Source organism: Homo sapiens, chromosome 11, assembly GCF_000001405.40.
Source record: "Homo sapiens chromosome 11, GRCh38.p14 Primary Assembly".
In the NCBI taxonomy this organism is placed as follows: Eukaryota; Metazoa; Chordata; class Mammalia; order Primates; family Hominidae; genus Homo; species Homo sapiens.
Window position 1 is genome coordinate 40,930,856 of NC_000011.10, and position 13,545 is coordinate 40,944,400.

The 13,545-nt window shown below is 35.9% G+C and overlaps 1 protein-coding gene across 18 annotated transcripts in view; it reads right to left on the reverse strand.

The window, feature by feature from the left end:
* The window catches only part of LRRC4C (leucine rich repeat containing 4C), a 1,345,454-nt gene that overhangs the window by 816,657 nt on the left and 515,252 nt on the right, over positions 1-13,545 (reverse strand). For 14 of the 18 annotated variants that reach the window (XM_017018075.3, XM_017018073.3, XM_017018077.3 and 11 more), the window contains one exon: positions 2,780-2,868. The exons of 1 other annotated variant lie outside the window; for it this stretch is intronic. The gene's annotated coding sequence lies outside the window, so the exon portion shown is untranslated. The remainder of the gene's footprint in view (positions 1-2,779; positions 2,869-13,545) is intronic. 3 more of the 18 variants (XM_017018079.3, XM_017018070.3, XM_047427349.1) reach the window with 1 other exon arrangement.

The window sequence follows — 13,545 nt, forward strand, 5'->3', positions numbered from 1 at the left end:
TATTTATGTTTATGTGAAGTCACAACTAATGGAAAAACAGAAAAGTTAATTAAACAATAAATTATTTGGCCCTCAAGCCACCAATCAGTTTGGATTTTCCTGATCCCTTTCCATGGACTGTAAGATCTCCCAAAGGCCTGAGCAAGGTGCTTGTAGGAAAACTTTAATCTGTGGGTTTTAGTAAATGCAGCTGTAGGTAATTACAAGAAACAGTGTCCCAGAAGAGTTTTAGAATCTCAGACCTGGGGCAAATACACTCAAGTTGATCTGCTGATCCATATGAGTTAGTGGAAGAAAAGAATCAAACAGCAAACAAACAAGAATCCAATTTTGAGTTTGCAGAAAATGAAGACAGAGGGAAGGGAAATGTGGAATAATTATTAAATCTCTGTTCAAACTCCTAAAACAGCTGCTTAGGGTTTTCTTCCTTCTATTGTGTACATTTACTGGGAATTTAAAGACAGTAGAAAAGGCTTTTATTTTCTTAGAAATAATTTAATCAATGACTATTCGTTTATATAGTTACAACCAATTTTTTAGACACGTGTGCATGCATGTGTTCTTATTGCTTATATATGTTTAATAAGCAGAGTCTTACTATTTAACTCAGATTTTATGTTGTCCCTTTTGTGAGAATGTTAGCTTATAGGGGGTTATATTTTACTTGGCTTATTTGTGTGGTATATGTCTAAGTTCGCATGCATATATTTGTTTATCATAGAGCCCCAATTGATATATACTGCAGGCATTTAATGCATAAGTTTGATCATAATGCACTAAAGTAGCCAAGGATAAAGGGGTGTGTATGTGTGTGTGTGTGTGTAGCATACATATGCGTAGATACTTATAATTATTTTTAAGTGATTATATATAGTTATGAAGCCTATATATAAATGTCATGATTCGTTTGGTATAAAGTTTTAGAATTCTTCCTCCAATGATTTTGAAATGGTTTGTAGCAGGATATTCTATTCCATTTTTTACATTTTTATTTCAGGGACAAAACATTTTACCAAAGGTAGTGCTAAAGTTGTCCGAGTAATGTCAGAGGATCGATCCTTCAGTACTTAAATCTATTAATTGAAGTCATTAATAAAAAGTTGAGAAATAAGTTCTTAGCTAAGAGTTAGGGAAGCAAAAGAAATAACCAAGTTAATTGTCCTGACCTCAAGGGGCTGAGACTCTGAAGAAGTGATGAGACATATACAGTTAAAATAATTAGGATAGATTATGATATGGGATATAAAAGAGAATTTGCAGCATTGCTATAAATTGAAAAAGAGAGGAGGGAGTTATTACTGTTGGTTATCTTGGTGAGAGTAATTTAAGCAGTGCTTGAAGCAAAATTTTAACACTCAGAGTGGGAAGAGAGATGAGAACTAATATTTATTTATTTAATTATTGAGCTCCTATCATTTTAGATGCTGTGTTAGATACTGGAAATGCAATGCACAATGAAACAAAAATAGATCCTTCTTCTATGGAATTTACCATGCATTGGACAAGAATATTGAGAGTTGTTTCAAGAAGTTTGAATGGGTAAAGAGGGGCTAATGTGGGGAAGAACACAGGAAAAGAGTGAAATGATGGGGAATAGTTTTGCTTGGATTTTAGTTGGTTATATGTTTCCAGGATTAGAGAAACATGTTTGGTTTTAGTCTGCATGGAAGGAACCAGGGAAATGGAGAAATGCAAATTTAGAGACGAATAGCTGATTCAGTAAAATTGGTAAAGGAATGAAAGTGTTATAATTAAAATTTAATATGAGGGATTATTTTGGAAAATAGAGTATAGGTAAAGATAAAGAGATATTTTAAGGTTTAAAGAAGAAAAATTCGGTGCTGTGCACATCAAATAGCCTCATCTTTTTTTAAAAGAGGAGGCTAATTCATTTGAAACTAAGGAAGTCAGGGCAAGGTTTGAGCCCATGGAGAATAGAGATTTTGAAAAATGCTGAAAGAGCTGGAACATTTCATGTGGTCACATCCTATTCAGGACTAGATGCGGTCAGACAGCATGGCTGTGTTAAATATCCAAGAGGTATGAGCAAACAGACATGATTCTTGCCTGCATAGAATATTTGATCTAGTGAAGGGTACATCCAATAATCAATTATACAAATAAATATTAACTGGTCAACTGACAAGAAAAATATGCCAGGGGATAGATTTCATAGAGAGCTAGAGGGTTGGAGAGAACTCAGTGACTGACTTTGGATTCTGCGTGGCAAATAAAGCTAAGTGTAGTGTCTGATGGACCAGGTTGATAGAGAAAGATAAAGGAAGGATAAATTATGAGTTCAGTAGGAGTCAGAAAGTGGAATAAGTGAAAATACATGCAACTGCAGTTAGAAAGCAGACTTGCAATGTTTTACTAGAAGCAGAGCAGTTACAAGAGACAAACTGACTCCTGGCAAAACTGTAATTTGTGTGCCTCAAGGAGAAATGGAGCCCTGACACAGGTGTGTGCAGCAACCCCACACTCACCAGTGAGAGCCTGGCCCATGCCATGTATCCAGCAATTGACCATATTAATTTACAAACATGGACTATTCCAAGGTAGTATAAGTCATATATGAAACAACGTTTCTTTCTACTTTTGTTTAAAGCTATTATTGTTGCACTCACTTACATTCCGTGTATTAGATGATGTTCCAGCTTATTTGGCCACTCTCTCATTGGGTGATCTTGCAGCCTCGCAGTAAAGAGAACCATTTCTAGTCATATATGAAACAACATTTCTTTCTACTTTTGTTTAAAGCTATTATTGTTTCACTCACCTACATTCAGTGTATTAGATGATGTTCCAGCTTATTTGGCCCCTCTCTCATTGGGTGACCTTGCAGCCTCGCAGTAAAGAGAACCATTTCTAGAAAAGACATACGATTAAAACATGGCATTACATTTAAGAAAGTTAGAAAATAGCCCAAGCAAAGTTACTTGAAATTAAAACTGACCTAATGGAATAACCTACAGGGAATAATTTATATTTCTCTACAGTAAGTTTATCCGTGTATATTCATTTTATAATATGCCATGCTTGAGGCTTTTCCCAGAATATAAAAGGCTTTTTGCAAAATGATGTCAATCACAATATTTGGTTCTGAGAAAAGTGTCACTTTATCAAATTTGTCTTTCTATTGGACTGTTGAGTAAGATTTTTAACAAAGGAAAAAAGGCATATCTGGTGCTGTTTATCCCTGTTTTCTTTGCAAGGTCTATTTTTGTCAAATGAGTTTATTCCTTGTTTAAACATACTGTGCCTTTTCATGCCTCTATACCATTTTCCTTCTATCTTATTCACTTGAAATGTCATTATTCTTTTGTCTATTCCTATTTCTCATCCACAAACTCATAGTCATTCTTTAATACCCAGCTGAAATATGACCTTTTCCCTCTGAAGTAGCCAATCAAAACTAATCTCTACCTCATCCGTAATCCCACAGACCTTTGTTTGTCATATTTTATGAGATTTATAGCTGGTGTTCCTAATTCTATGTCCCTGCCTTTGCACTCCGAAGGCATGGAAAATATTTTATCTGCATGTGCGTGTGTGTGCACTCGTGTGTTTACTTTCTTTAATGACCACCTGCCTTATTCAAATAACAGACATTCACACATTACTTTCAATTTCTCCTTACTCTATCCTGGAGTAAATTAGACTTAGTTAGTACTGCTATAGTTTACGCTATAATAATTTAGCATTTCTTTCCAATTAAAACACTTTTTTTTTCACTTGGCTTCCAGAGCACCGTTCTCTCCAGTTTTCCTCCCACAATGGGTCAAACTTTCTTAGTCTCCTCTGAGGTTTCCTTCTAATTGTTTGTAATAATAATGGCTTATCTCTTGACTATCTCCTATTTCCTAGTAGACTAACTCCCATCAAGGTCTAATCCAGGTTTATGACTGAAATACTATTTACACACCTGGAATTGACAGATTTATATTTTAGCCCAGCCAACTCTCTACTTGTTCTACACATTTAGAGTGCTAATAAGCTATTTATATTTAGAATATCCCAAAGGGAGCTCCCTGCCACCACCAATTTTCTCTTCCTGCTATTTCTCCTCAGGTCAGAACAACATCCTACCATTATCTTATGCAAAAAGACTTAACACATGACTTACACGTTGACCCTATTCTTTCCCTCCTTAATTTTGGTTCAAAGCACTTATTACCGTCTAGCATACAACATCTTTGACAAACAGACTTTTTAAAATTGTTGTTCTCCTCCCATTAAGCAAGAAAACCCCATGAGGGTGGGGATTTCCATTAGTTTTTTTCACTGCTGCACTCCTTGTTTCCCTGAATAACAAAATATATTCAAAACAGGTATGTAGTAGGGGCTTAAATAATATTTTGTTGATTAAGGAAGTGAAGTCATTCTAAGTAGATTGCTAAATAATTTATTAATGTTATTGGGTTCAAAATTCAGTCCCTTTACAGCTTCCTCAACTGTGAGATGCAGAGGAAAATCTTGTGTCTTTATTATTGTTTTCATCCATGTCTGTTCTGACAAAACAGAGCCATGTCTGCTTAATATAGTCATACACTGCACGTGGATGTTTCAGTCAACAACAGACCACTTATATGACGGTGGTCTCATAAGATTATAATGTCATATTTTCACTGTACCCTTTCTATGTTTAGGTATTTTTAGATACACAAATACTTAGCATTGTGTTATAACTTCCTATAATATTTCAGTACAGTAACATGGTGTACAGGTTTGTAGCCTGGGAGCAATGAGCCTTACCACATAGCCTAGGTGTATAGTAGGGCATACAATAAAGGTTTGCATATGTACACAATATGATGTTCTTACAAGAATGAAATTGCCTAATGACACATATTTTTAGAATGTATTCCCAAGAGAAATTAGTCTATTGGAGCAGAAAAGTGTATTGGGTGGTTGACGTTTTCAGATAACTAGAAAGTCACAGAATAAATGAGTTCATTCTCTTGATTTAAGAAAATCTAGGTTCTACTTCCTGTTTCACTGTGTTTAGTGATGTAACTTCATTCTGAGTCTCAGGTCCTCAGCTATAAACTAGAGTAATAACACATTCTCCATCTTTAAAGGGAGCTGAGTAAATAAAATGGGACTCTCAGTAAGAATGTGATGAGAGTACTAAAAACTACTAAAAAGATGCCAAATTTTATATATATATATATATATATATATATATATATATATATATATATATATATAACATAGTTTGAACCTTAACTCTGTCCTGAGAAAAAATGTGTATTGCAATGTAACTGAGCTGCAATGATTTCCAGATATTATAATTAATTTGTGGTGGACCCAATATTAAAGTTGGGTCTTTTGAATTGTAAAATAGGTTATTTTTCACCATAGTAAGTTTTATTAACATCTAAATTAGATAATTTATGTTCACCTGATTTAAAGGGCCTGAGAAATATGTCATATGCTAATAATGAATTTAATAATAGCAACAATAGTATCTAACACTTGTTTTTTTTTTTTTTTTTTTGAGATGGAGTCTCACTCTGCTGCCCAGGCTGGAGTGCAGTGGCGCGATCTCGGCTCACTGCAAGCTCCGCCTCCCAGGTTTACGCCATTCTCCTGCCTCAGCCTCCCGAGTACTGGGACTACAGGCGCCCGCCACCACAGCTGGCTAATTTTTTGTGTTTTTAGTAGAGACAGGGTTTCACCATGTTCGCCAGGATGGTCTCGATCTCCTGACCTCATGATCCACCCGCCTCTGCCTCCCAAAGTGCTGGGATTACAGGTGTGAGCCACCGTGCCCGGCCAGTATCTAACACTTTCAAGCACTTACCATACATCAGGCACTACATTAACTGGTAACATCATGTATTATTTTATTTAATTCTCAACGCTGTGTAGTTGCAATTATAATCATGTCTATTTAAAAATATAAAAACAGAAACAGAATGATTAAATAATTTGCATAAGGACATAAAGCCAGTAATGGTAAAATTGGGATGCCAACCTAGACAGCTTTCTAACACAAAAACAAGTTCTAATTTGAAATTAGAATTATATAATCTGGAGTCCATACAGCAGCGTTCCAAGAAGGCAATCACTCTTAACTGAGAGTTAAGTTTGGGGAACATCTGGAAGACTCATGATAAATTAAAAACAAAGTAACTGTCTAACATTGTCAGCAGATGTATGTTCATTCTGTGCTATTTGCAATAGCAAAGACATGGAATCAACCCAGGTTTCCATCAATGGCAGATTGGATAAAGAAAATGTGGTACATATAAATGTGAAGTATTATGCAACCATAAAAATAGAATAAAATCATGTCCTTTGCAGCAGCATGGATGCAGTTTGAGGCCATAATCCTAAGTGAATTAACACAGGAACAGAAAACCAAATACAGAATGTTCTCACTTACAAGTGTGAGCTAAACATTGAGCACATAGAGACAAAAATGTTGGAACAACAGATGCTGCCGACTACTAGAGTGGGGAGGGAGGGTGGGAGATATGGGTTGAAAAACTACCTATCAGGTACTATGCTAATTACCTGGGTGATGGGATCCATACCCCAAACCTCAGCATCACAAAAGATTCCCTTGTAATAAATCTGCACATGCACTTCCATGTCTAATATAATAAAAGTTGAAATTAAAAAAAAATACAGAGTAACTAATACTAGGGTACTCTTAAGACATCATCACTTTGTTGCATAACTCTTCAGTTGTAAAGTACTCAGTCTCTCCAATAATTCACTCTTCTTGAGTGTGTGTATATGTGTGTGTGTGTGTGTGTGTGTGTGTGTGTGTGTGTGTGTAGGGTGGTTGTTGTTGTCTTTTTTGAGACAGAGTCTCACCCCAGCTGGAGTGAAGTGGCGTGATCATGGCTCACTGCAGCCTCGAACTCCTGTGTTCAGGCAATTCTCCCACCTCAGCCTGCCGAGTAGCTGGGACAGAGGCACATGCCACCATGCCCAGCTTTTTGTTGTTGTTGTTGTTTGTTTGTTTGTTTGTAGAGACAGGGTCTCCCATGTTTCCCAGGCTTGTCTTGAACTCATGTGTTCAAGTGATCCTTCTGCCTTGGCCTCCCAAAGTGCTGGAATTACAAGTGTGAGCTCCTGCACCCAGCCTGCTCTTCTTTGTAATTTCTTCTGTGAACTGATTCATCGTAATGTTGGAGAGTAATAGCAGTAATTCTCTCTGTGATTATCAAGAGCCAATAAAATAGTTATGACAAATATCAATCTAATTGGAAGCACTACTGCTTGAAGTCATTTAAAAAGCATCACTTAAGAATGTTCTTTCAGTAGTTATCCTGCATTGGCAGAAAGGGGCAAAGATGAATGAACAGGCGCAGGTCTCCTCCAGTTCTGACAGTTCCTTTCCTCCTGATAAACAGCTATTCTGGCAGGAAAGAAAACGTAATCTCCCTCTGACCTTTCTCCATTTGGATGAGTGCACCGCAATGATTCTGTACTGTCACAGAGAAAAGATCCAAGCGAAGGGTGAGGAAAGCCTATGGATAATTCACTGTACTTGATAATGTACTGAGGAACAGCTATAAAATATGCCTATACTACACCAAGTAGAGACATTGTACAAACAACAACAACAATAATAACAATGACGATGGCAGTAAATGTATGTGTTGAACACATACTATGTGTCAATATTATGGTAAATACATTATGTGGCATATTTTGATTCTGTGTTGTATAAATGTATTTGAAAATGTCATTCATTAGTTTTAACCACCTACTGCCTCTTCTTAAATAGATAAACATGACATTTCCAAAAATATGACCTAGGTGATTCAGACTTGACCACACTAAGGCACAAGGTAGTGAAGTGATTGGTCCAGGTCATAGCTGAATAACTTTGATCTGACACTCTACCATTCTTCTCAGAACATAGCTCAAGTTCCCACAACTCCCTTGATGTCTGTGTCTTCATCCTTAAATGAAGGGAATTATTTAATTGCACAAATTTCAAGCTCTTCTCAAACTAGAAAATGCTACAATGTAATGGTTCTGTCTTGCAAATGCATCATTTTAGACACCATCTGGAATTGATAACATTCCAGAGATCTACTGAAGGTAAGTGGGTGAGTGGCCACACAGGGCTGGGACAAACAGAGAAAATATTATCCAGATATTAAAATAGTATTATATAATTATAAAATGTTATAGAAATGTTTATGATATAATAGTGAATGGAAAAAAAGGAAATTCTAAAATAACGATTATTCTGTGATGATACATATGTCCATGTACAAAAACTAGACGGAAGAACATGGACTAATTGTCTCACGATTTCTTGGCTATGGTGTAATACTAAATGATGCTTTTATATTGAACATTAGTGTTTTCACAATGCTGTTTAAAATATGAATTTTGAATGAGATTTAATTTTAAAAAGGTGGCACAATGACACTTCTGAAATTCAAAGGGTGCTCTGGTTTTAGTGCTCACATAAAATGGCTAAAATTATCTCTTCAATGTTTGTTATAAATAATTATTAGAAGACACTTTTAAATCATTATATCTTCTTTGTAAAACCATCAATCCTAGCACATATACAAGTTGGTAATTAATTCTTAAATACTCATTTTTTCCTCAGAAATCAACTTACTGTAAAGGATGAATAGCTTAAAAAGTGAAAAATACCTGAATTCATTCATTCATCTATTCATTCAAGACACAATAGTTAACTGCCCGCTCGGTTTTAGGCACTCTTTCGGCACCTGGGGATTCACCAGAAACTAGACACTTTGTATATAGCTTTGGACCTATAACAGTCCAGAGATTAAAGTGAACTCTATCAAAAAAGGGGCTCAAGAAGGGATTTGAAGCCAGTTTGTTTCCTTTGTCCTCACTGAGAATGCAGCAAAGTGAAGATGGTTGCTGAGCCTTGTTCCTGTGCCATCTTCCTGAGTAAATGTTTCCAGTATACAGTGTGTTGCAGAAAATAATTTGGAAACAGTCCAACTCAGCTTCCTTTGTTCAATTACCTGTCATCAGATCATTTGTTTTATCAGACAGAAATCATTGTGATGACAGGGGTTTGTTTACTTTGCCCCTGTATTCCCAGCATCAAGGACAGCACCTGCACTCCATCCGTGAAGGTCCAATCAGAGTTCAGTTCACATGAACAAGTGCTGGATTACCATGTAACAAACTTGAGTCCAGTTTGGTTCTATCTCTCAAGTACATTAGTCTACTTGGCTAATTATAGTCATTTACAAAGCACCTTCTATGTGTCAGACATATAATACCTGCTGTTACTTTAATCTCACACTGTCACAGTGTCATCCCTTTTTACTCTACCTCATTGTGCCTCAGTTTTCTCATCCATAAAACTGTGATAGTGATAGTACCTAACTAATGGGCTTGTTGTGAGAATTAAATTTTTAGATTAAACAAAGTGCTCATGAAAAAGCCTAGGCACGTAGTATGTACCAAACAAGTTTAGAATAGTATATTATTATTTAAAACTCATGGTAACATTTTGAAGAATATTGTACTATCTTCATTTTACCAAGCGGGAAACAATGTATGATGGCTAAGAAATGTGATCAAATGCCCACATTGCTGAGCCACTGAATTTAGAGATATTTCTTCACTCTGCTCTTCCTCTCAATTTTCTTGCCTATGTTCTTAGATAAGATCCTAACCACTTTCTCTTTGGATTTTGTCAGTAACTTACTTCAGATCTCCCCTTTCCTATTTTTAACCATCATCTTTTACATTATCTGCACATTCTACTTTTGATACGTTTTTCAAACAGATATCAAATTATATTATTCCTTCTTCCTTAAAACCTAAGTAGCTTTCTAATGCCTCCAGAACAGGCTACAAAGTTCTTAGAAGAGCATTCTGTGCTTTTCATATTAAACAGACTTCTCTGATACTCAAACTTTACTCAAAACTCTAGACAACTGAATTAAGATTAGGTAGTCAAAAATCAGGTAAATCTGGGTTCATATCCAGTTACTAATTATGCAATCACCTCATTATTTTACTTACTTAATTCTTAGCATCTTATCTGGGGAATGGGGATCATGGCCTGAAGAGCATGACAGAGAATTCGTTACAAAATCTTTTTTTTTTTTTTTTGGACACTAGTTCTGATGGCACAAGAATGATCACGTAATACATTCAGAAGATAATATATTTAAAAATTCCAACAGAAATCTTAAATACGAAAAATGAAGTGGGACAAAAAAACAGAACTGGCTGGAGTCAAGCAGTGAAATGGCATTTCAAAATTAGATTGTTAAACCAGTGTAATTTTGAAGAAAAAATTCAATTAGAAATGAGATACTTATTTTTTGTTGCAATAAAAATATAAGACCTGAAATGATCAAGAGAAAATAATGTTAGTCATGATAATTTTATTACTATGCAGATTAAAACAGGTTTGTAATGGCTTTACCAGTAATAAATAGAAACATTCTACATCCCACTCCTTACTTGAAATATTAAGAACTGATATCTGATTTTATAGCTGTCTAAGAATATGCTTTCCTACAAATAAATGCTCTCACATAGATTTTATGTTAAATATAGGTTAACTGACAGATTATTTTGAAGTGCTCAAAGTGATTAATCAAAGCTGTTTCATTTAGTGATGAGAGGTATTCACTGAGATTTCAAGATTTCATGTTTAGTTAAATTAAGATCATAAGCATGGAAACTCACTTGAACTCAAGAAAATATTTTGGGCATGGGGAAGCTAAATGGTAATACTTTGAAATGTAATCTTTGCATTAGTAACACTAAGCTAACTTCCAGCTATCTTCACATTGATTGATAGTGCTACCTGAGAAGTAAACACATAGTTTTGATTGTTTTAACCTAAACAATTCATGTTAGAGAAAATCATACTTTGAGCACTTATTTATACAAATATTTATTAAATACTCACTAAGGATCAAACAGTATGCTAAGTGCTAAAAATAAATGAAGTAAGGCAATATTTTTTCTGATTTTACAGGGTTTATAATTTAATTTAGAGAAGGGGATAAGAAAATAATGAAGGCAATTATTTTGTGATAGTATGTATACAGGATAGAGAAGGCATTATTATAGCTATGTTAGTTCAAGTCCATCAAGAAGCAGGCACTGAGACAGGGTTAGACACACAATAAATTTATTGGCAGATATTACTGTGGAGGATAAAGGGGCAGTGAGCAGGTGAATAAGGGAGAGATTTCAGACTACGGTGAATGTCTGACATGTGTGAAGGAGAATGGAAGGGGCAAAGGTTGGATAGAGAGAGTCCAGTCCTGCAGCACAGTTCCAAGAAAGGTTTAGCTAGCCAATGGGGCATCCTTGAGATGAAGTTGCACATTAGAGGAGTCCTATGTTTTATAAGAATGGGAGTGAGCTACTAGCAGTCATTGACTGGAAGCAGCTCATGGGAAACAAAATCTAGCAGCAAAAGACCCATTGGATCTTAAGAGCAGCTTCTAGGACTATCAGTCAATTATAATCCCAGCAAGAGGACAAATGGCATACTTTCATTGTAGTGGTCATGGGAGTGTTAGTTTTTACTCATGGACCAGAACTTTAGAAAGTGCTGCAGTTTTCAATTAGAAAGTGCTGCAATTTTCAAAGATGACTAAGAAGTCACACATTGAACAAGGTGAGCAAGTGCATTCCAGGCATGAACTAATGTAGAAATACAGGACAACATGGTGAGTGTGGGGGCGTTGCAAGTAGTGCACTAGAGTTGGAGCATGTACGTAAGTGTGTTGGTGTGCAGCACACCAGAGAGGGAGGTGGGATTCAGATTGGGAAGAGCAAGGTGAGTTATACAAAGTGGTTTGACCTTATCCTGTAGATAATGTGGGATTATTGAAGGAATTAATGCTTGACAGAGACAGTGTGAGATCTGCACTGCAGAAAGATTCCTGAAGTATACAAGCTATTCAGATGGAGCATTCCAAGAGGTAAAGAAAATGGAGATACTAGTAATAAAGAAAAGATAACACCAGACAGACCAGAGTTCCAATCCTAACTCTAACACCTACCAACCATATGAACAGAGCCAAGGCATTTAACTCCCCATAACCCCTATTACTAACTTTCTATGTCAGCAATTACTCAACTACTTATTTCATAGTGACACAGGATCATGTGAAATAAATAGTAGTATACTTAGCAGCTCAGGTGTTGAAAGCAGACATAAACCTACTTTTCTATCTTGGCCCACATGTATGACTACAGGAATATTTTTCACGAACCTCAGTTTTCTTAAATGCAGGTAATAATGAAATCACATTTATCTCATGGAGTTGTTCTCTGAGAGGTGATATGTGTGAAGACTTAACTTACTCGTGGTGCAGAAGAAATGACTAAATAACTAAAGGCTAGGTACTGTTAGGTGATTTACACACTTACAACGTTTTGTTCTCACAGCATCTCTGCAGGCAGGTTATTTCCCCTCACACCTTAGTATAGAGGAGCAAAGTGATGCTTAAGTAACTGGCTCATGATCACACGAATGATTGTACTGTGCTACAGTTCTCAGCTGCTTGACTTCAAAACCCGTATTCTTAACCACTATTCTCCATTACCTTCGATTCCAGCACAAAGAAAAACCATTTACCTGCCAAAGAAAATGCAATTCTAGGAACTCACTTGTTGGCTACAGTTGGATTTGCTTGTATTACTAGTATACTTTAAAGCAGAGTAAGGGATCATTTAAACCAAACTGCCTGGTTTGCCCCAAGAGAGGTTTTTATTCAGTTCATTTAGACAGAGTATTACAGCCACCACACAGATTCTAATACAACCTGTGTTATACTATTTGAAATTGTTTTCTGTGAAGGGGAAGGGGTAAAAAATGATGAAGGCAGTTGTCTCCAAGGCTATCTCTCCTGTCGGGAGAGTCTTTGAAGTGTTTGCACACATTAGTCTCTTCATTCTTATGTGGAATACATTCAACTTCCCAGTAGGAGTAACCATGACACAGATGTTTAAAACCCATAAAAACCGGACCTGATAGGTCAGATGTACAGTCATTAGGCAGAAGGCCCTGACCCATTTAGCTCTCCCTCTTCCCCAATTTCACTTCCAGAAAAAAGACTGACTTGATTTTAATCCATGTTCTGGCCCATTTCTCGTTAGTCAAAATGCTTAACTTCACCAAGCTTTAGTTTCCTTAATTGGAATAGGATTATTTTAAGGTTGTCCTAAATACGGACGGTAAATACACATCATTACATCTAACACCTATTAGCTACTCCAGAAATGTTAGCTCCCCTTGGATGGATAGCAGAAAATGATTTTCAAAAACAACAAATTGTCAGAAGACAATTTGATCAATAAATAAAAGTGATATTTATTGATAACCAATGAAGAGTTTAAGATTTCATCACTAATATTTGCATTAAAAAAACCCAAGCTAAAAACATTCACAGATGCCTTAGCAATAGATTTGCACCACATATCTTGAGGATACGATATTTTATCCTTATCTATCAATTGCAAGATTTGTGTTTTTCATGAATAATTTTTCTGACCTCTCCAGTGTAGGGGTTCACATCCAACACAGAAAATTATAAATCT